This window comes from Homo sapiens, chromosome 11, assembly GCF_000001405.40.
Source record: "Homo sapiens chromosome 11, GRCh38.p14 Primary Assembly".
NCBI lineage: Eukaryota > Metazoa > Chordata > Mammalia > Primates > Hominidae > Homo > Homo sapiens.
The window spans coordinates 60,855,977-60,876,232 of record NC_000011.10 but is presented as its reverse complement, the minus strand read 5'-3'; the positions used below and the strand labels follow the sequence as shown (position 1 = coordinate 60,876,232).

Here is a 20,256-nt window from a genome sequence, read left to right as displayed (position 1 = left end):
CCATTCCTCCTGTGCCAGCCCTTCCCACATGGATAGTCTTGGGAGGCCAGGGGAAGGGATGGGAGGCTGTGGTCAGAAATGCAGCCTTTAGCGGTAGGCTGGCAGGCTCAGGGGGTCTGTGAAGTGCTCCTTCAACTCAGTCTTAGAGTAACCCTTATCCATGACAGCAGCTGCTCAGGGTGCTTTGAGGATGCCCTTGTCAGAACTTCTGTGTCTGTGAGGAGGTGACAAGCCTTCACAAGCCATTCATTCCTGCCAGGGGCCCAGTTCCCAGCTGTTGGTGTTCTTTGACTGTCAATGTCTTAACCTCCAGTATCTTTGTCCTGTTTGCTCTGCCTGAAATGCCACCGTTCCTTGTGGAGAGGCAGAGGCTCCCGAGTTGAGCCTTGGGGGACATTGGCCTCTGTGCAGGGTGTGGCATATATGAAGTATTTGTAATCAACGTCACAGTTTTGGAAGGACAGAGCTGACTTGGAGGAAGTTTCTCACATAAGAAATAGTTCTGTTCTAGTCGTCACAAATAACTTCTCCACACCTGGTTTCAGTAGGTTTGAAATGATTGTTTATTGGGCCCATTCACTGTCTGTTGCTTTCCCAGAGCTTCTGGGCCCAGGTCTGGCTCAGGCCCACAAAGACACCAAACCCAAGGACCAGGGCAACAGCTGGCAGCAAAAGGACCGCCCAAAGGAGAGGTCTCAGGCTGGAGTTCCCATTGGAGTCTGTCAGAGAGACGGGATTGGCAGGGCTGGGTGAGGCCCCTCCAACCCTCCCCTCCACCCCAGAACTTTGTATCACACTGGGCAGAGCTGAAGCTGCCTTTCTGCAGATGAGGTGGACTGTGTCTGTCTTCACTTAGTTCCCCACTGACTGCAGTGACACCATCTCTTGCCCTCAGCTATGGCTGGAGCATCCCTGTTTTGTCAGCACAATCTTGGGGGCTGAGAGTGGGTAAGGCCTGAGGGGCCCACCCAGAAGCCCTCCTACCTGTGGGCCCAAGTGTGGGCTCCTGCCCATAAGAATCCTCAAAGCCCACTGGCCCCGGAGAGCTCACGATGTCCTGGGGCCTGGCAGTGTCATTACGGTGACCTGAGGATCGTCGCTGTCCTGCCCAGGGGAAGAATGAAATCTTGGGCTGGTCTCCTGCCCCTGTGGCCCAGAGGCCAGGCACAGGCCTGAAGATGTATAAAGGAACAAATACCACTCGCAACCCAGACTCACTTGTAGTGCCAGTGCTACATGCAGTGGAGCAAGTCTCCAGCCCTGAGGTGTGGCAGGCAGAGGTGCTGCAGAACAAGTAAACCTGGTGGAAGGAGAAGAACATCAAAGTGGCTGGCTCAGTGCCACCGGGCAGGAAGCACAAAGGGAAGGACATGGAATCCCCGAGCTGGGCCAAGTCTAGGCTGCTGCTAGCCAGGCAGGGAGAAATCTGAGCTGCTTGACCAAGATGATGACTGCTGCCCATGCTGAGGGAGTGCAGAGCTGAATGTGTTCCTTCCAGATTTGAAATCCACACCTTCCTTGCTCCCCAAGGTCCAAGTCTGCAGTGGAGTGCCCTGCAGGCGGGGACCACCGCACTTCGTAATGCCCCAGTCCTTGGCGGGCCTGCTTCACCAATGCTGCCTCTGGCTGCACAGCCCCTGGGAGGGCTGGCTCTCTCCCTTCCACCTGCCCTACTGAGGGAGACAGCAAATTCCAAGGAGGTGGGACTTGGCCAGGCAGCAGGATAATAGATGTTTGCCCTCCCTTTGTGACCCCTGGAGACCAGTGACTGGGGGCAGAGGGGAGGGCAGATTACCACCGCTTCCAGATACAGAAGGGCAGGGGCAGTGCCCTACGGGACCAGAAGCAGGAGGAGCTGACCCAACCCAGCACCCAGGAGGCCCCACTCATGGGCAGCACACAGCAGAGATGAGAACGAAGCCACACTAACCAGTGCTTCCAAGTGAAATCAGTCTACATCTGACATAATAACAGGCAGTGATTTAAGAATCTAGAGATTTGGGTATGTGATGTGAAAGATACGTTGTTCAATGGGACAAGTGCATCTGTCACCTCTGAGGCCATCTGTATATTACATAGGAGACCTAAATATACCCTGAGTTTATCTACCTTTACCTTCTGGAGAAGTTGCTGAGTTAAAGAAAATTCAAAGAATTACATGGAACACATTATCATTTCTGGAATCAGAAGTGAGGTGAGGCCACCCTAGAACACCATGACCAGAGTTCAGATTTAGGGCTGATTGCAGCACAGGCAGCATTTTCCTTCCTCCTGGTGGTGGTTATGGGTTACCTTCTTGCTGACCCGAAGCCCGCTGCTTTCCATGACACCTGGTAGACGCCAAGCCCCATCCCAGAACTTTGTCCATATAAGTTCACAGGGTGCCAGAGGGATTTGGCGACCAGCTCCTCCCACTTAACAGATGGGACCAGGCATGCGGCAGCCGGGGCTTCTTACCAGTCCTCTGAGGGCTCTCTGGGAGCCTGAGTCCAGGAGGGCGAAGGTAGCAACAGTGAATCGCTGGTAGTGCGACTGGAAAGGTGTGGCCCCGTCCAAGGCTACCATTTGGGTTCTGTAGCTGTCGCCCTTGAAAGGGCATCTGAGAAGAGAAGTCAGAGAGGCTGTTTACAGGAGGCAGAGCAGGTGGGGGGAGTGTGGGGGCACTCACCCGTCTGACAGGATGGGCCACTGGGGCTGCTGGAAGGGGTTGGCACTGGGAGCGCCCCAGCACTGGTGCAGCAGCAGGACCAGGTTGGGGTCTGTCCTCTGCAGAAGCCGGACCTCCACATGGACTGGTTCTCGGAGCAGCCTCACGATGGGATAGTCATCCTCCCCATAGTACGAGCTGAAGGTCTCGTCTGCAGGGAGAGTGACTCATGAGCCAGGGCGGGCTGTGCATCAGGGAAGTGGGGGCCAGAAGAGAGCAGGGATAGCATAGCATACCTTTGGCAATCCGCAGCTCAAGCCGCAGGGGGCCGGGCTGGGTCATAGGAGCAGGCGATGGGGGTGGGAAAATGGATGCCTGAATGGGCAGGAAGTCACTGGCGTTGAAGACACAGCGCACATGAAGCCTGAAGTCCACGTGCAAGAGGGTGGGGGAGAAGACACAGAATCAGAGCATCCTGTTTACGTAATAAACTAGGCACCAACTCCGTGGGTGCAACAAATAGGGTACTGTCCAGCAGGGCAGATGGATGCTACTTAAGCAATACTCAGCATTTCCAAGGCAGGCTCAGGAAGCTCACCCTGCCCATTCCTCTGCCCACCTGGTCTCCCTGGGATGGCTCAAGCCTGTTATGCCAGGCCCTGCACCTGGTGGGAGAATACAGCAGGATAGAGATGGGCCCTCGGGGGGCTGGCACCTTGTTGGGTCTGCCCTGGCTACCCACAGCTGCCTGCTGTGCCGTTCGAGGCCCCTGGAGCCTGACAGTTGAGGCTGGTGAATGAGCCTAGGTGCTCTGCCTCCCGACAGACCTGGATTTGAGTCTTCTTAGCATTTACAGGCTTTGGGACCACAAGCAAGTCTTCTAACCTAAGCCTCAGTGTCCTCATTTGTAAAATGGCTGTGACTGCCTCCCTTTGAGGGCACTGAGACTGAGTGAGATCACAAGATAATGCACCTGTGTCTTCATTGTCCTTGTAGTTGCAGCTGGTTTGCCACAGCCTAAAGGCCACAGTGTCTAGCATCTTCCTCACTAGCCTAAGGGCCATGGTGGCCACTCCTCCACACTCTGGTGGGGCCAACACCCTCCTAGCACCCCAGAGGCCTGGTACCAAGGAGATGCTGAGTAGGTATAGGAGGCTCACCCCTGTTCTGAAGGCCTTGTGTCTGAGGAGCTCTCTGGCCTAGTCCTGCTGGCTACAGCTGTTTCCCCCTGACTTCTGCCTCCCTCTGAGAATCCCTAGGCACTCTGTTGACCTCTGGCTGACTCCCAGAGCTCTTACATCAGAGAGTCTAAAGGCATGACACAGACTTGTCCTCCACCACTTGGCCATAAGAACATATGGGTTTTTTTAAATTAAAATAAAAAATAGAAATGGGGTCTCGCTGTGTTGCCCAGGCTAGTCTTGAACTTCCAGCAATTCTCCCACCTAGGCCTCCCAAAGCGCTGGTATCATAGGCGTGAGCTACCACCTCTGTGCTACTTAGAGCTTTAAAGCCAAATACATTTGAACTGTGACACAGTCCCCTGCTCCCCAACCCTCACGGCAGGGCGGGAAGGGGAAGGAGATGCCCAGCAACCATGCAGTGTCAAGCACAAGATTTCTACAACCCATTGGCTCCGTCCCACAGGGTGAAGGTTAGGTGCTTTGCCCCTGGTCACACAGGTTCAGAGCCAGGCATGACAGACAGATTCCCTCGGGTCACCCCCACTGGCATCCTGGGCACCTGGGTTGGTTTTGCCTCTTGAGTCAGCAGGTCCAGGAGGCCCCTAACAATGAGGGGTTCCTCCCCCACCCAGTTCCTCTCCCACCACATCCTCAGAGAGGTATCTTCAGCTTCATCTGTGGCTTCTTAACCTGACATTAGGAGGGGCAACAGCCGTAGCCTCAGCCTCCTCCTGGGACCTGGAAGGGGACACTTTCAGTTGCTTTGAGCTTGGTTCTTGGAGAGACCAAGACAGGGCTCTCTCAGGACTCCAGCTCTCTCAGGACTGGCCCTGGGCTTCTAGCCAAGCCCTGCAGGCCAGGCATGGAAGGGCTCCACTTAACACTCATGTCTGCCCTGAGAGAGGGACATTTCCCCTGCCCAGCAGGGGAGGCTGGGAAGAGGTGGGCCCCTTGCCTAAGATCACATAGCCGGGTAACAGCAGAGCCTGGGTTTGAGCTGAGATGGCTCCGAAGCCTGTACTGAGCTCGCCTGTGCCCCTGACACCCTAGCACACAGCCACGCCTGTAGGAGGAGGGCTGCCCTTACTGGAAGGTGCTGTCCCGCGTGATGGAACCCTGTGGCCCCTTTTGGATGTGGATGCCAGACACCAGCCAGTTCTCATAGATGAGCTGGTCGCCAGCCACCTGTAGGAAGAGACAGCTGGGTGAGGCTTTCTGGTGGGGGACCAGGCCCCAGCCTGTGGTCCCGGCTCCTACCTGCATTGTGGTTCCACAGTGGGTGAGAGGGAAGTAGAAGACCACGAAAGCTTCCGTGTGCTGTGTTGGGGAGCAGCTGGTGGGGGCATAGGCCAGGTGGATGTTGGCCAGTGTGATCCTGTGTGTCAAGGCCATTTCTTGGGACACCACGAGGACGAAGTAGCCATCTCTGAAGCACTGGACAGTAGCTGGGACAAAGGCAGATGAGGGCCTTGGGGTTTGGTGTCCATCCAGCACAGAGACGGGATGGCTGGGTGACAGCCAGGCTTTAAGTGCCGGTCTAGGAGAATGGACGCTTACTCTCCACTTAGGCTGGTGTTGGCCCCAGCAAACCCTTTATGGACTGATTTTCTCATCCATGTGACAAATGAGTTGAACTACACTCTAAAAGTAGGTTCACCATATAATCTGTCATCCAAACCAGGGCGTTTCAGATCTGAAAGTCCAGATGTGTGTAAGGTAGATCTATTAATAGTTCCCTGGGACAGTTGTTATAAGGCCAGCTGGGACATGTGACCGCCCCATCTAAAGGTCTCCTCTGCCATCTGCTCTGGGAGTTGGGCTCTCCAGGAGGAGGATAGGAAGCAGTTTCCACCAGCTGGAGGAGACAGCTCTCCTTCCGCTTCAGAATCCAAGGGACCAGGATCTTGCTGGGGTGGGAGGTTGTACCTGTGTTGCCATAGTAACAGGGAACCTCTCTGGTGTTGTCATAGCAGCAGCCAGCCTGCTGACAGGCTTCTTTTGAAGTTCTTCTCACGATGCAGGGGAGGTGCCCTGAGGCCACCTGGCACTGCTCCTGGCTCAGGTGGGTACCTAGGGTTGGGACAGAGTGATGAGGCTGAAGGCACACAGTTTGCAAATCATGGCCCTGGAATTGAATCTTGGGAACCTGCTCCAGAGCTTGTGCTCTTAGCCAGCACAGTAAATGTCCTCCCTCAAAACTGAATATTACTGAAATTTCTAGAGAATATTTTCTGAGAATCAGGTGTTGCTGGCAATGGTTTCAATGAGTTTCTGCCTAAAGTTAGGAAACAAATTTACAAGACCTCTTCTAGCTTTAGTACACCTATACATGTTTAAAGCTGTTTTCCAAATACTACAAAGGAATAAAAGAATCATCTTTTTCTAAAAAAAGAAAAAAACAAAAAAAGAAATGGCTTAGAGCCCAGTAAAAGGCTGTTAGGCCACCCTGTACTCCAGAAGTCCCCAGACAGAGGGTAAGTACACTCAGATGTCCTGCGTACCTATGTAATCTCGTTTGTTCACATCCCAGTGTTCCAAGGTGCCCCAGTGGGGTTGAGCCAGGGTGGCGAGGGTAGGTCCAGGTCCAGGGGATGGTAAAGCAGGGGTTGGGTGGACAGAGCTGTGCCCTGGGTCCAGTGGGCTGGGAAAGGCATGGCCAGAGCCTTGGGAGGTATGGCCAGAGGTGGGGAGGAAGGAAAGGGTTTGTGGGGTTGAGACAGAGAACATGGCGGGTGGTGCCAGCTGGGAGTCCAGAGTCCGGGAGGGGTCAGGTTTGGGACAGATCAGAGTAGCGTCTTGTGCCACATCCACACGACCATTGGGCAGCACAGCCTCCATGAACACCCTCAGGTGGAAACGCCCATCCTGCAGGTGAGAGGCCATCATAGAGCAGCAAGGTGAGGCCACCTAGCATACCCAGGCAGGGGACGGGCCCACGAGAGCTGAGCTGGCCATTAGGCAGGGAGCTGGATTCATGGTGGATTCCAGAAAGTACCTTCCAGAGCTTAGTTTCCCTCACCCACCAGCTCAACAGATCTTCGGCTTTGGCTCCTTTCTGGTTCATGAGGGGCCTCTTCAGCCTGACATGACACTAGGACAAGCTTGCCCCTGTGCCAGAGCATGAACAACCCCTACCTTCTCCAGCACGTGGCAGCCTCTGTAATCGGCCGAGAAGACTGCAGGCTCCTGCGGCCTGGAGGTGACCCAGTGGTAGCAGATGGAGCAGTTGTTGACATCAAATCGGTTCCCAAATTCATCTGCAGTGGGGGAAGGGGAGGGGCCAGGGATGTTGAAGGGTGCAGGGAGAGGTTGCTGGGGTCTCGGAAGGAGTTCCCACTCAGCAGCCAGGAGACCTGGGTTCTTGCCTTAGCTTTGCTATTAGTTTGTTGTGTGGTCTTGGGCAAGCCCCCTCCCCTCTCTGCTCTCAGTTTCCACAGCTGTAAGGGGATGGGAGGGTCTTAGGATCTTTCTAGCTAGGGTTCCCTGCTCACAGCACACGGCAGCAGGCAGGCACGAAGATGAGGTGGAGAAGGGATACACAGGGTCTCAGGCACTGGCCTGAGTATTTCACATCACTTCTTTTAAGCTTAGTTATCCACATCCTGTGGCTGAGGCAGCTGAGGAAGGGAGGGTGCGTGAGCTTTCTTAGGTGCACACAATGAGGGGCAGAATGAGGATTTGAATCCTGGGCTTTGTAGAAAGATCTGAACCCATTTCCCAGGTTAACTGTGGCTGCTGCAGTTGCTTGGAGACACCCCCTAGGTGTCCACCCTGCTTGTTGCCCCAGAACAGCCTGGGCATTCCCTGGGTGTGGGCATGTCCCCATGCCCTTGTTCCATGAGCACGGCCAGGTTCATCTTCCCCACCTTGCAGATGAGGAAACAGAGGCTTATGAGTCAGGTCAGTTGTCCAAAATCATCCCGTTTAGAAGCTGCAGATCCAAACCCCAGTTCTAAACCCACACCAGGCCACGCCTACTAGGTCCTGCTGCTGGAAGTGGTTTATGGACCCTCAGCCTCAGTTTTGACTGAGCGTGGTTAGAGATGCAGAGCCTAGGCTGGGTGCAGTGGCTCACGCCTATAACCCCAGCACTTTGGGAGGCTGAGGCAGGTGGATCACCTGAGGTCAGGAGTTCGAGACCAGCCTGACCAATATCGTGAAACTCCATCTCTACTAAAAATACAAAAAGTAGCTGGGCGTGGTGGCACACACCTGTAGTCCCAGCTACTAAGAGGCTGAGGCAGGAGAATTGCTTGAACCTGGGTGGTGGAGGTTGCAGTGAGCTGAGATCGTGCCAACTGCACTCAAGCCTGGAGAACAGATTGAAAGAAGTGAGACTGTCTCAGAAAAAAAAAAAAAAAAGAAAAGAAATGCAGAGGCTTGGCCCTGCCCCAGGTCCACTGAATCAGAACCTGCACCTCAACAAGGTGGCCAGGTGTTTCCCATGCACACTAACGTGGGAGAAGCTGCCCTGGGTGATGATTCTCCTCCTTGCCCTTTTCTGTGGTGAGGGGGTGGGGGGCTGGACACCCCCAGGCTGGAGGGAGGCCTCTGTTCTTGCTCCTTCAGGGGAAGGGTCCCAGCTCCCTTCTGGCAGCAGCCCGTGGCCAGGGAGGCAGGGGCCAGGACTCTGCCAGCACTCACCCACCACCTTGAAGCGGAGAGTCTGGCCTGGCCTGGGGAACACCAGCAGCTGCATTCCCTTGATCCCACAGTCGTAGCTGTGCCGGAGGCCTGGGAGGCCAGGGTCGGGCTGGAGCCACCTACCCAGCCCCAGGGTGGCAACCAGCAGTAGCAGGGCCACAGGGTAACCCCAGGTCGTGGCTGAGCCTCCTGCCATGAGACGCCACAGACACACCCCCTACTCCCTCGCCACCAGAGCTGGGCCCAGGCCTTTTATGGAGGAGGTGGCAAGTGGGTGCCTGTAAGGGCAAAGGGGGCCCACCTGGAGGAGCACCCACCTGGCCACCAGGGGCTGTGGTGAAACTCCTGTTCCAAAGGCAGCGGGAGGCAGAAAGCTGCACGTGGCCCCTCACCCTGGCTTTCTGTCTCACAGCTGTGGCTTTGGAAGGGAGGAGGGAGCTTTCCAGAAAACTGAGGTTGCAGATGGGCTGTGGGAAGGGATCCAGGGCTAGGAGGTGGCACTGCAGACCTCAGGCCCTCCACTGTCTCCCTCTCACCCCAGCCTTTCTGCATTCCCTTCCTGCCCCAACAGGCTCTCCAGGTCCTCCTTCCTGCCTTGAGGCCTCAGGACCACTGGGAGCTGCCGGCCTGGTTAGTACAGTCACAGCTCCTCAGGCAGGGCTTTAGGGGCATTAGAGCAAGACCAGGAAGACACAGCCCTCAGAGCTGGCAGCGGAATGGGGACTGCAGGTGAGTAAACAGACCAGTAGCACCTCCAAGGGCTCTCCTGAGGATTCAGCCGGTCAGTATGATGATGACTATGACTAATAAAAAATAACAAGGACAACTAAATGTAATGTGGCATCTGGATGGGATCGTGGAACAGAAAAAGGCAGTAAAAGTGAAGAAAGTGGATTTTAGTTAATAATAATGTGTCCACATTTGTTTGTTCATTAATTGTAATAAATGTATCATACTCAAGTAAGATCAGTTATGGGGTAAACTGGGCCTGCGGTGTATGGGAACTGTCTGTACTATCTTCTCAGTTCTGTAAATCTAGAACAGTTCTAAGACATAAAAGTGGCTGGAAACAACAAGAATGGCCTGTGGTCTGCCATGATTACAGTGCCAGGTCTTGCTTGTGTTAGATCCTTATACCGCCTGACCATCCTCTGAGGAAGGGACTGTCACCAGCCCCACGTCCTGGCACTAATTCCTGCAAGTGATTAGCCTAGGGCCCAGCAGCGTTTGAGCTCAGCAAACATTAGAAAATGCAGCTATTATAATTAGCAGCTGCTGGAAGGGGAGAGCAAGAGGCTTGATAGCTAAGAGCCCGGTTCTGGTGAGGTTGCAGAGAAAAAGGAATGCTTATACGCTCTTGGTGGGGGTGTAAATTGGTTTGACCACTGTGGGAGTGTGGTGATTCCTCAAAGAGCTGAAAACAGAACTATCATTTGATGCAGAAATCGCATTACTGGGTATATATCCAAAGGAATATAAATTGTTCTATCATAAAGACACTGAACCTGCGTGCATATGTTCAGTGCAGCATGATTCACAATAGCCAAGACATGGAATCAAATGCCCATCAATGGTAGACTCAATAAAGAAAATCTGGTACATGCTGAGCACGGTGGCTCACGCCTGTAATCCCAGCACTTTGGGAGGCCGAGGCGGGCGGATCACGAGGTCAGGAGATCGAGACCATCCTGGCTAACATGGTGAAACCCTGTCTCTACTAAAAATACAAAAATTAGCTGGGTGTGGTGGCACGCACCTGTAGTCCCAGCTACTCAGGAGGCTGAGGCAGGAGAATCGCTTGAACCCAGGAGACGGAGGTTGCAGTGAGCCGAGATTGTGCTGTTGCACTCCAGCCTGGCCGACAGAGTGAGACTCTGTCTCAAAAAAAAAAAAAAAAAAAGAAAAAGAAAAAAAAAAAAGGAAAATGTGGTACACATACACCATGGAATACTATGCAGCCATAAAAAAGAATGAGATCACATCTCTTGCAAGAACATGGATGGAGCTGGAGGATATTATCCTTAGCAAACAAATGCAGGAACAGAAACCAATACCACATGTTCTCACTTATAACTGAAGGCTAAATGATGACAACATATGGACACATAGAGGGGAATGGCACACACTGGGGCCTATTGAAGGGTAGAGGGTAAGAGGAAGGAGAAGGGTGGAAATAATAACTATTGGGTGCTAGGCTTAGTATCTGGGTGATGAAATAATCTGTACAACAATCCCTCTGGACATGCATTTACCTATATAACAAACCTGCATAAGTAACCCTGAACCTAAAATAAAAGTTTAAACAAAAAAAGTTGGTTCTAATGGTGCCCCAACCACTTTCTTAGCTGTGACTCAGATGCATTATCTATTCTGAGCCTCAGGTTTCCTGTTTGTAAACTGGGGGTGATAATGCTTTCCTTGCCCACATGGTGGATAGGAAGACACAAAGAGACAAGTCATGGGTACCAGGTGCAGTAATGATTTAATGCTTGGCAATAATTCACTTCTACTGTGATTAAAGCTCAGCTGGGAAAGCTTGGTGGGGCGGGGTGGGAGTCCCTCTGGGGGCACAGTGGGAAGAGGCACCCAACACAGCATCGAGGATGGGCGACATGGAAGTGTTTTTGGAGGAAAGGGGTCCTGAGCAGAGGTGGGAGGAGGCGGGGAGGACAGGGATGGTGCAATGGGGATCTGGGGAGAGCAGAGCTGGAGGAGGAGGGAGGAAGCAGGTCACACAAAGGTCCAGGACAAGGACTCCAGGCAGGCTGAGGGTGCTGGCGAGGGAAGGACTAGGAGGGGAAGGAGAGGAGCCAGGCAGGAGCGGGGAGTGGGGTGGATTTTCCCTGAGGGACGATGTGGAAGTTTTAAACTTTTAATTTTGAAATTATTTCAGATTTGCAGAATTTCCATATAGCCTCCTCCAGATTCCTCAGATGTTCACTGTTCACTTTTTACATTTGCTGTAGCTCCCGCTTTCTCTCTCTGCATGTGTGCAGACATACACGCACGCACACGCACACACGCACACATTCTTCCATATCATTCAAGAGTCAGTTGCAGAAATGACAGATTCCCCTTTACCTCTAATTGCTTCAGTATACATTTCCTAAAAAAACAAATCACCCCTACAGTCAAATGATCAAAATCAGGAAACCAACAATGGTATAAACACAACGATCTAATCTGCAGACATTATTGTAAGAAATAAAGAGGAAAGCAACATGAAAGGGCGGTTCAACAGGCAACAGGGACAGGTTTATGTTGAGTAAACCTGAGAGGGGCGGCTGGCCGAGTTAGGTCAGAGCCCCACTCTCTTACAGATTAAGAGTTAAGGATTCAGGGCGGGGGAGTTTATCAGAGGCTTGGACTGCTCCTGTGTCTCTTTGCTGTGCGTATCTGGGAGGGAGAGTTGTGTGTCTGTTCCCATATATCTTTCTGCAGCTACAGGCATATCCCCAGAGTCTGCTTTTAGCTTCCCTATCTTAGTGCCCCTGAAGGAAAAGGAATGTGCTTATTAAGGCCCACTGTTTTACTGGGGCTCATTGTGTGAGGGTGAAGTTTGGCAGTTACCAAAGAGACCTTCCCTCCACCCCGCTCTGTGCCGGAGCTGTCTTATCTGTATTTTACTGTCTGCTCTTTCTGGCTGTTGTAGTTAGAAGAGAAGTGATTTCCTTGAAATGCATGAGGCTAGAAAGGGAGCTGGAGCTTAAAGTGGCAGTATTTGTCCGAGATGACGGTGCTCCTGCTCTGACAATTACTCAACATCTGCCGACTGTCCTAACTGTGACTTTCATGGCAAAGGAGTACAGTGGTTTTGGGAGTCTGCAGGATCCAATCCAGGCTCAGAGTCTCGCTGGCGTGCCTCTTGGCCTCCTCTGATCTGGGACCGCCCTTCTATCTTCTTTTGTCTTTCATACCCTTGACATTTTTTAGTACAGCCGGATGATTTTGCAGAATGGCCCTCAGTTTGGGTTTGTCTGGTGTTTTCTCCTGGTTACATTAGATTTAGTTGATGCATCTTGGCCTTGTATTAGTCCGTTTGGCTGCTGTAACAAAATACAGACTGAGTGGCTTAAATAAGTCTTTTTCTCACAGCTCTGGAGCCTGGATGTGCTAGGTCAAAGTGGTGGCAGGTCTGGTTGCTCCTGAGGCCTCTCTCTTTGGCCTGCAGACAACCGTCTTCTCACTGAGTCCTCACGTGGTCTTTCCCCTGTGCTGGTGCGTCCTTGGTGTCTCTTTGAATGGTCAAATTCCCTCTTCTTCTGGCTGGCACGGTGGCTCACGCCTGTAATCCTAGCACTTTGGGAGGCCGAGGTGGGCAGATCACTTGAGGTCAGGAGTTTGAGACCAGCCTGGCCAACATGGTGAAACCCCATCTCTACTAAAAATACAAACTAATTAGTTGGGTGTGGTGGTGCACACCTGCAATCCCAGCTCCTCAGGAGGCTGAGGTGGGAGAATCACTTGAACCTGGGAGGTGGAGGTTGCAGGGAGCCAAGACGGCACCACTGCACTCCAGTCTGGAAGACAGAGTGAAACTCCATCCCAAAAAACAAAAACAAATTTCCTCTTCTTCTAAGGACACCAGTCAGATTGGATTAGGGCCACCTTAAGGGGCTCAATCTTAAATCACATCTTTAAAAGCTCTATCTCCAAATACAGTCACATTCTGAGGGATGGGGGTGGAGGGTTAGGGATTTCGCATATGAATTTTGGGGGGATACAATTCAGCTTGTACAGAAGTGATGTTGTGTCCTTCTCAGTATCTCGAGGCACACCCCGCTGGCTTGTCCTGTTATTGCTGATGTGACTTTGATCACTTGGATAAGGTGGTGTCTGCCAGGTTTCTCCACCATAAAGTAATGATGTTTCTCTTTGTAATTCATGAGTATCTTACAGGGAGATACTTTGAGACTATGTAATCAATCCTGCTCCTCTTCAAATGTTCACTGGCTAGTGTGGTTGCCAAGTGGGTGGTGGTTCTCTAACTCTACCCTTCCTTCTGCATTTATTTGCTATCATAAGAGAGAACTTTTCCTAACGGGGGCTTTTAGGGGCCAGAGAGAGAATCAGCTGGAGTCTTTGAGAGGCCTGGATTTTGCCTGGTGCTCACTGTTTATGAGCACAAGGGCCCTGGGAAGTCACTTACCGGCTTTTTTCCTCTATCTGGAGAGTAAGGATGAGAATGATTATGGTGGGGATGCAATTACATAAGACACGGAGAGGTGTTTCCCCACTGGTCATGGACCCATGGGGAAAGTACGTCTCCCAAGGTGCTGGAAATGGGCAGGGAAAGAGAAGGGGGGCTTCCTCAGGGCCAAGGGCAGAACACCTTTGGGAAAAGGGTACCAGAGTATCCAAGAGAGAGAGAGAGCGCGCACGAGCGCCCTGAGCCCTCGGTTACGACTCTACGTTCTTGCAAAGACTCATGGACACCAAGAATTATCAGCCTGGGAGGATCCCAGCTCCTCTGCTCACCCACTGGAGACCTTGGAAAAGTCCCTTCCCTGCTCTGTGACTTGCTTTCCTCATCTATAAAATGGGGTTATAATAGCACCTAAATTGTAGGGTTGCTCTGAGGATTAAATGAGATAATCCATGTGAAGCAGGCAGAACAGGGTCTGCACATGGTCATCATTTGAACACGATAGCCATTACAACCACGATTATTTTTATTGATAAAGAGAGAGGGTCAGATGGAGGTGACTTGACTTGGAATCTTGGCTTTATCCACTTGGCTTCTGGTTTTTGGGTTTTTTTTTAGAGATGGGGTCTTGCTATATTGCCCAGGCTGGTCTCAAACTCCTGGGCTCAAGCAATCTGCCCGCCTCTGTCTCCCAAAGTGCTGGGATTACAGGCATGAGCCTCCACACCTGGCCACTTGGCCTGTTTGTAAACCTGTTTGTTCATTTCTTTCTTTCTGTTTTTAACCTATGAATTTTTTTTTAATGGAACTTCAGTTTCTTTTCTTTCTTTTTTTTTTTTTGTTTTGTTTTGAGACAGAGTCTCACTCTGTCGCCCAGGCTGGAGTGCAGTGGCGCGATCTCGGCTCACTGCAAGCTCCGCCTCCCGGTTCACACCATTCTCCAGCCTTAGCCTCCCGAGTAGCTGGGACTGCAGGCGCTGGCCACCATGCCCGGCTAATTTTTTATATTTTTAGTAGAGACGGGGTTTCACCGTGTTAGCCAGGATGGTCTCGATCTCCTGACCTTGCGATCCGCCCGCCTCAGCCTCCCAAAGTGCTGGGATTACAGGCGTGAGCCACCGCACCCAGTTGGAACTTGAGTTTCTTAATCTATAAAATGGAACTAAGAATACAGTCCACCTAAGTGGGGCGCCGTGTAAGTATCAGTTGCTTGCCCTGTCTCCTCTGTGAATAGAGCCTAGGGAAGGCACTGGAGGAGGATGGAGCCTCTCTAGGCTGGAAAGACAAAATCCCCTTTCAGGGGATCCATGCATGCCAGGAAACCAGCAGGAAGCAGGCTGCCTCACTCCGGGGCCTGCAGAGTAACCCAAGAGCAGCGCCAGCTGTGTGTGTATGTATGGACCGTGCTCACCGCAGAGATGCTCCCAGAAGGCCAGTGGGAGCGCATTTAACTGAAGACAGGCAGCCCTGCTTCCCCTGAGGGAACAAAGAACCTCAGAGAATCTCATCAGCTGCGAAGAGCTGGGCTCTGCTGCTGGACCACATGGCTCTGAACTCCAGCTCCTCTGCTCCCCAGCTGAGCAGGCTTGGTAGGGTTGCTTAAGCTCTCTGAGCCTCAGTTTTCCCCTTGGTGAGTGACGATGATAGTGGTACCTAACTCAGAGGGGTGCGTGAATATTTGATGAGCTCATCCATGAGCAAGTTTCAGCCTTACGCTGGCACATAGTGAGTGCCCCATAAGTGTTAGCTATTACTGTTTTCATTTTTTTTTTTTTTTTTTTTTTGAGATGGCGTCTCGCTCTGTCACCCAGGCTGGAGTGGAGTGGCAGGATCTCGGCTCACCATAACCTCTGCCTCCTGGGTTCAAGCGATTCTCCTGCCTCAGCCTCCTGAATAGCTGGTATTACAGGCGTGCACCATCACACCTGGCTAATTTTTGTATTTTTAGTAGAGATGGGGTTTTGCCTGTTGGCCAGGCTGGTCTCGAACTCCTGACCTCAAGTGATCTGTCCGCCTCATCCTCCCGAAGTGCTGGGATTGCAGGCATGAGCCACCGTACCCAGAAGCTATTATTGCTTTCACTGTGTTGAATGGTGGCCCTCAAAAGACATGTCCACAACCTAACCCCTGGAACCTGTGAATGTGGCCTTATTTGGATAAGAGGACTTTGCAGATGTAATCAATTTAAGAATCTCAAGATGAGAGCACCCTGGATGATCCAGATGAGCCCTAAGTCCAGTGACCAGTACTCTGTGAGAGACACATGAAAAGAGGGAGGGGGAAGGCCAGGTAAAGAGGAGGTAGAGATTGCAGTGATGCAGCCCTAAGCCAAGGGACGCCTGGAGCCACCAGAAGCTGGAGGGGCCAAAAAGTCTCCTTTTCTAGAGCTTTCGGAGGAAGTGCTGGCATCTGATTACAGACTCTGGCTTCCAGACTGTAAGAGAATAAGTCTCTGTTGTTTAAAGCTGCCACGTTTGTGGTAGTTTGTTCTGACAGCCCGAGGAAACAAATACACCACTGTTGTTTCTGCGACGATTGCCTGGCACATGTGTGGGCCTGAGCCCAGGCCAGGGCTGCCTCTGCCTGCTCTGCCTTCTTGTCTTCCTTCCTACTATAAAGCGATCAGTCCCCAAGGTTGTACCCACTGCAGGTGAAGACAGAGCCATGGAGAATTGCACCAGACCATGGGTAAGAAAGGTTCCAGAATGGGGCCGGACACAGTGGCTCAGGCCTGTAATCCCAGGACTTTGGGAGGCTGAGGCAGGCAGATCACCTGATGTCAGGAGTTTGAGACCAGCCAGGCTAACATGGTGAAACCCCTTCTCTACTAAAAATACAAAAATTAGCCGGGTGCGGTGGCGCACGCCTGCAGTCCCAGCTACTTGGGAGGCTGAGGCAAGAGAGTCGCTTCAACCCGGGAGGCGGAGGTTGCAGTGAGCCAAGATAGGGCCACTGCACTCCAGCCTGTGCAACAGAGCGAGACTCAGTCTCAAAAAAAAAAAAAAAAAAAAAAAAGTAAAGGTCTCAGAATGGGTCACCACAAGGGACTGGGGTCCTTTGAGGTCTGCACAGGGAAGCCAATTTTAGAGATTCATTCTGTTCAGCAAATATATGTTGGGACCCCTCTCATGTGTCAGGCCCTCTGCTTGCCTTTGGAGGTGAGAAGATAAAACAGGAATAAGTCTCTGTCTTCAGGTGGCTCATGAGGGTGGTGAACAGTTGTGTGAACAAGAGTTACCAGGGAAGACAGGGGGGCTGCAGGTCAAGTGAAGTGGAGATGTGGGAGAGGAGGGACAGCAAGTGGGTCTGAGAGAATCAGCAAAGGCTTCCCAGAGGAGGCAACCTCTAACCAGGGTTTTGAAGGATGAATAGGAGTTCACTGAGAGGCCAAGGGAAGAAAAGGCATTCCAGAGCAGAGCACAAACAGCATAAGCCAGGGCACAGAAACAGCCTGGTGGGCACAGAAACAGCCTGGTGTGTACAGAAAAAGCCTGGTGTGCACAGGACAGGAGGGGACAGTGGTGAGTGCTGGCTGATGACAGGATGCCACTAGGGAGTGGCAGCAATGCCAGGGGAGGCTTGGGTGGGACTGGATCACCGAGGGGCTTGTTGGCCATGCGAGGAGTCCTGTGGGTGATGGTGGCACCAGGGAACTCAACCTGGGCCTCCCCAAGGTATCATTTGGGGCCCTGCCATGCTGCTCCTCTACTGGGTGTGGGTAGCTCGAGGGCCTCCGAGCAAGGGGCTGGAGGATCCCAGGGCAGGCCTCACCCTGCTTCCTGCCCTGCATCTCACTTCCTGTTTGACTGACTTCTTTAAAGTGGCCAGAAAGGAACATAAAAAACCCACCTAGAGGGAGAAGAAAGCCCATGTGGGCTGGGCCTATGCTTGGGGGCTCCATCTGCCCCTCCTTCATTCCTTTGCTCCCTTGGCTGTATTTGTTAAACATTGATGCTGTAAGTATCCTCTGAGTATCTAGTGACATTGGTGGTCTCAGAAAGAGGTCCTGCAGGATGAGTCGTGGAGGGGAAGTGGCATTCCCAGCAGCACGTGCCAAGGCATGGAGGTGGGGAAAGAAAGGATGGGGTAGCTGTGGACATGAGGAAGGGGGTGCAGGGACTGGTGGTTGGTGCACTGGATCCTGAGAGGCCTTGAATGCTAGGTTGGGAATCTGGACAGCTCCCATGGGCAGCAGAGATGCAGCAGAGGTCCCGTGTGCCAGGAAGCGACAGGCTCAGATTCATCTCCTCCACGGCAGAAGGTGATGCTGAGGCAGCGAGGGACCCGACTTCCGCTCTTACTGCCTCTGATATTAAGTTCCAAGCCTTGGAGGAGGTTGTAATTTAGGGACTAGGGCCTGAGCCTGAGTGCAGCTGCATCTTTCTCCCAGTCCTGGGGGACACAAGCCATGGGATAAGGCAGGGCACGGCTCTTCTTCAGAAAATGCCTCTGGGCCCTGCTCATCTGGAACTTGTTTTGGTAACTTTAAGCTTAGTAGCTTTTTTTGTTTACTTAGTAATACATTTTCTTTAGAGAGAACACACACACTGGGTTTTCTTTAGAGAGGAACACACTCGCACTGGGGCTGGACATGAGTCACTACAGTGATTACAGGACTGGAAACAAGGACTGAGAAGGGGCAGATGAGTAAGGGTTTTTTAGCCAGAAAAGAAGCACCTCAGCAGGGTGGCCAGGAGAGGTTGTGCAGGATGTTCACTGTACAAGGATACCAGTGGAAGGGTCAAGGGTGGGCTGAGATCCAGAGGAAGGGCTGTGCCTTATCTCAAGCCTGATGCCCTGGTGCTGAGATGTGTCTGTGGGGTGGGGTGGTGGGGAAGGGGTGATTCTTTTTCTTAGTCCAAAGATAAATCTGGGCTCCAACCCCTGTCCTTTGAGGGTGGGACTGTGCAGAAGGAACACCATTTAAAGTTCATATTTTACTGCTGTGAAGTTACTTGCCCAAGATCACATAGCTGAGGAGTGGCAGTGCCAGATCCAGACACTGGTGGTCTGGCCCCAGAGTCCCTGGGCTTAACCACAGCCTGACACTCTCTGTGCGCAGACAAGGCACACGTGGCCTTGTCTGTGGTTCAGTGGGTTGGGTGTCCGGGGTGGGTGGAAAAGAGGGCACTTTCCCCATGCAGAATGGAATCATCCACCTATGTTCTCTGGAGGGCTGCAGGCATTTGTCTTTGGAAATCAAGCCTTCCCTGACCTGGAGGAGAGGGGACATTTTCCTATTGTTAATGATTTGGATCACCAAGGCTCTTACTGATCTGCCATATTGGGCTACAGTGAGATGTATTATCCCCATCACAAGGGCATAGCATTTTACTCATTTTCCACTCATGATGGTAGCCTCTCAGCAAGAGCGTATTATGCATTAGTCTCTGCGTTAAGACTAGGCCTAAATGGAAGATGCTTGTGCTGTCCATCTCATGGGAGGTGCCTTTGCCTCGATACAGGGATATTGAGTTCTTAAAATGTTTTAATGAGTATCCATTAGGTGCTGAGATGCTGAGGTTGAAGGGATGGTCCTGACCCCAGGAAGCTTGGTCAGCAAATGAGAGTAAGGAGTTAGGGAACAATGAAATGCAAACTTCTCTTATCCTAGGGCTTTGAGCCTGTGTGTTTTTTTGTTTGTTTGTTTTTGTTTTTTAGTTTAAATTTCCATTTTTTTTTTTTTGAGATGGAGTTTTTACTCTGTCACCCAGGTTGGAGTGCAGTGGTGTGATCTCGGCTCAATGCAACCTCCACCTCCTGGGTTTAAGCGATTCTCATGCCTCAGCCTCCCAAGTAGCTGGGGTTACAGGCATGTGCCACCACGCCTGGCTGAGTTTTGTATTTTTAGTACAGACAGGGGTTTTGCCACATTGGCCAGTCTGGTCTTGAACTCCTGACCTCAAGTGATCCATCCGCCTCGGCCTCCCAAAATTGAGCCTGTTTTAAATAAAAGCTATATGACCTTTGCCTTAGAGCCTATATTCATTTTTCCCTCAGAGGAGAAGGAAGCTGATTTTTATAAGCACTTACTGTGTGCCACGAGCTTTGTGCAATCCATCTCATTCAACCCTTACCACAGCCTGTAAGGCCGATGTTACTGCTCCCGTTCACAGATGACAACCCCAGGGCTCAGCAAACAGAAGTGACTGACCTCTTGGACTGCGTTCTTGCCACTGCCCCCACTACCCCACTGTACTTTCCTGGCCTTAGAGCCCTCGGGTCCCTCATGGACAGGCCCCCACACTGCCTGGGAAACTCAGAACAGCTGGAGGGGTTTCTTCTCTGAGGATTCTGGTGTCGGGAGATGGAAGCCCAGGAACAGTGGACAGATGGATGAGACATTCTCCTTCTCACGCACTTATCCTACACACTGGTCACTCTCAAAAGCACACCCCTAGTCACACTCGGGCTCACACTCTCTTGCACACATCGATTTTTTCACGTGCACTTGCACTGCCCTCTGGACTTCTGCAGTCTCCTTCATGAAGCGGGGATGGGTGGAGCAGGGGCTGCCGGCATTGATGGAAATTGATGATATTTGAACATCTGTGTGGCAACTCACTCTCCAGCTGTCCCCGCCTCCCCCAACCCCACCCCTAAACACACATGCACTGGGGCTGACAGCTATTTCC

At 52.1% G+C, this 20,256-nt stretch overlaps 1 protein-coding gene across 7 annotated transcripts, besides 3 other annotated features; it reads right to left on the bottom strand.

Annotated features, from left to right (window-relative positions):
* Positions 546 to 8,691, bottom strand: ZP1 (zona pellucida glycoprotein 1). Of its 7 annotated transcripts, NM_207341.4 has the most exons (12): positions 8,476 to 8,691; positions 6,967 to 7,088; positions 6,333 to 6,696; positions 5,758 to 5,901; positions 5,089 to 5,276; positions 4,919 to 5,016; positions 2,944 to 3,071; positions 2,669 to 2,858; positions 2,458 to 2,599; positions 1,219 to 1,300; positions 985 to 1,104; positions 546 to 719 (listed from the first exon to the last, which is right to left on the bottom strand). In NM_207341.4, exons 1-12 carry the CDS (start codon positions 8,669 to 8,671, stop codon positions 577 to 579), a joined length of 1,917 nt encoding a protein of 638 aa, NP_997224.2. In that variant the 5' UTR covers positions 8,672 to 8,691; the 3' UTR covers positions 546 to 576. The 7 variants fall into 7 exon arrangements, with proteins under 7 accessions (NP_997224.2, XP_011543155.1, XP_011543154.1 ...); XM_011544853.3 differs by lacking the exons at positions 6,333 to 6,696; positions 8,476 to 8,691 and having other exon boundaries at positions 6,967 to 7,033; XM_011544852.3 differs by lacking the exons at positions 5,758 to 5,901; positions 6,333 to 6,696; positions 6,967 to 7,088; positions 8,476 to 8,691 and adding an exon at positions 5,389 to 5,493.
* Positions 11,739 to 11,956: a silencer, noted in NCBI's record as "fragment chr11:60631750-60631967 (GRCh37/hg19 assembly coordinates)". NCBI's record gives its function as "represses an EF-1alpha promoter that drives an FKBP-Casp9 reporter gene in an ReSE screen in HepG2 liver carcinoma cells {active_cell/tissue: HepG2}" and the evidence as "EXISTENCE:reporter gene assay evidence [ECO:0000049][PMID:32094911]".
* Positions 11,739 to 12,097: a biological region, named in NCBI's record as "Sharpr-MPRA regulatory region 12454".
* Positions 11,803 to 12,097: a silencer, noted in NCBI's record as "tiled region #12454; HepG2 Repressive non-DNase unmatched - State 22:ReprW". NCBI's record gives its function as "represses a minimal TATA promoter and a strong SV40 promoter by Sharpr-MPRA in HepG2 cells {active_cell/tissue: HepG2}" and the evidence as "EXISTENCE:reporter gene assay evidence [ECO:0000049][PMID:27701403]".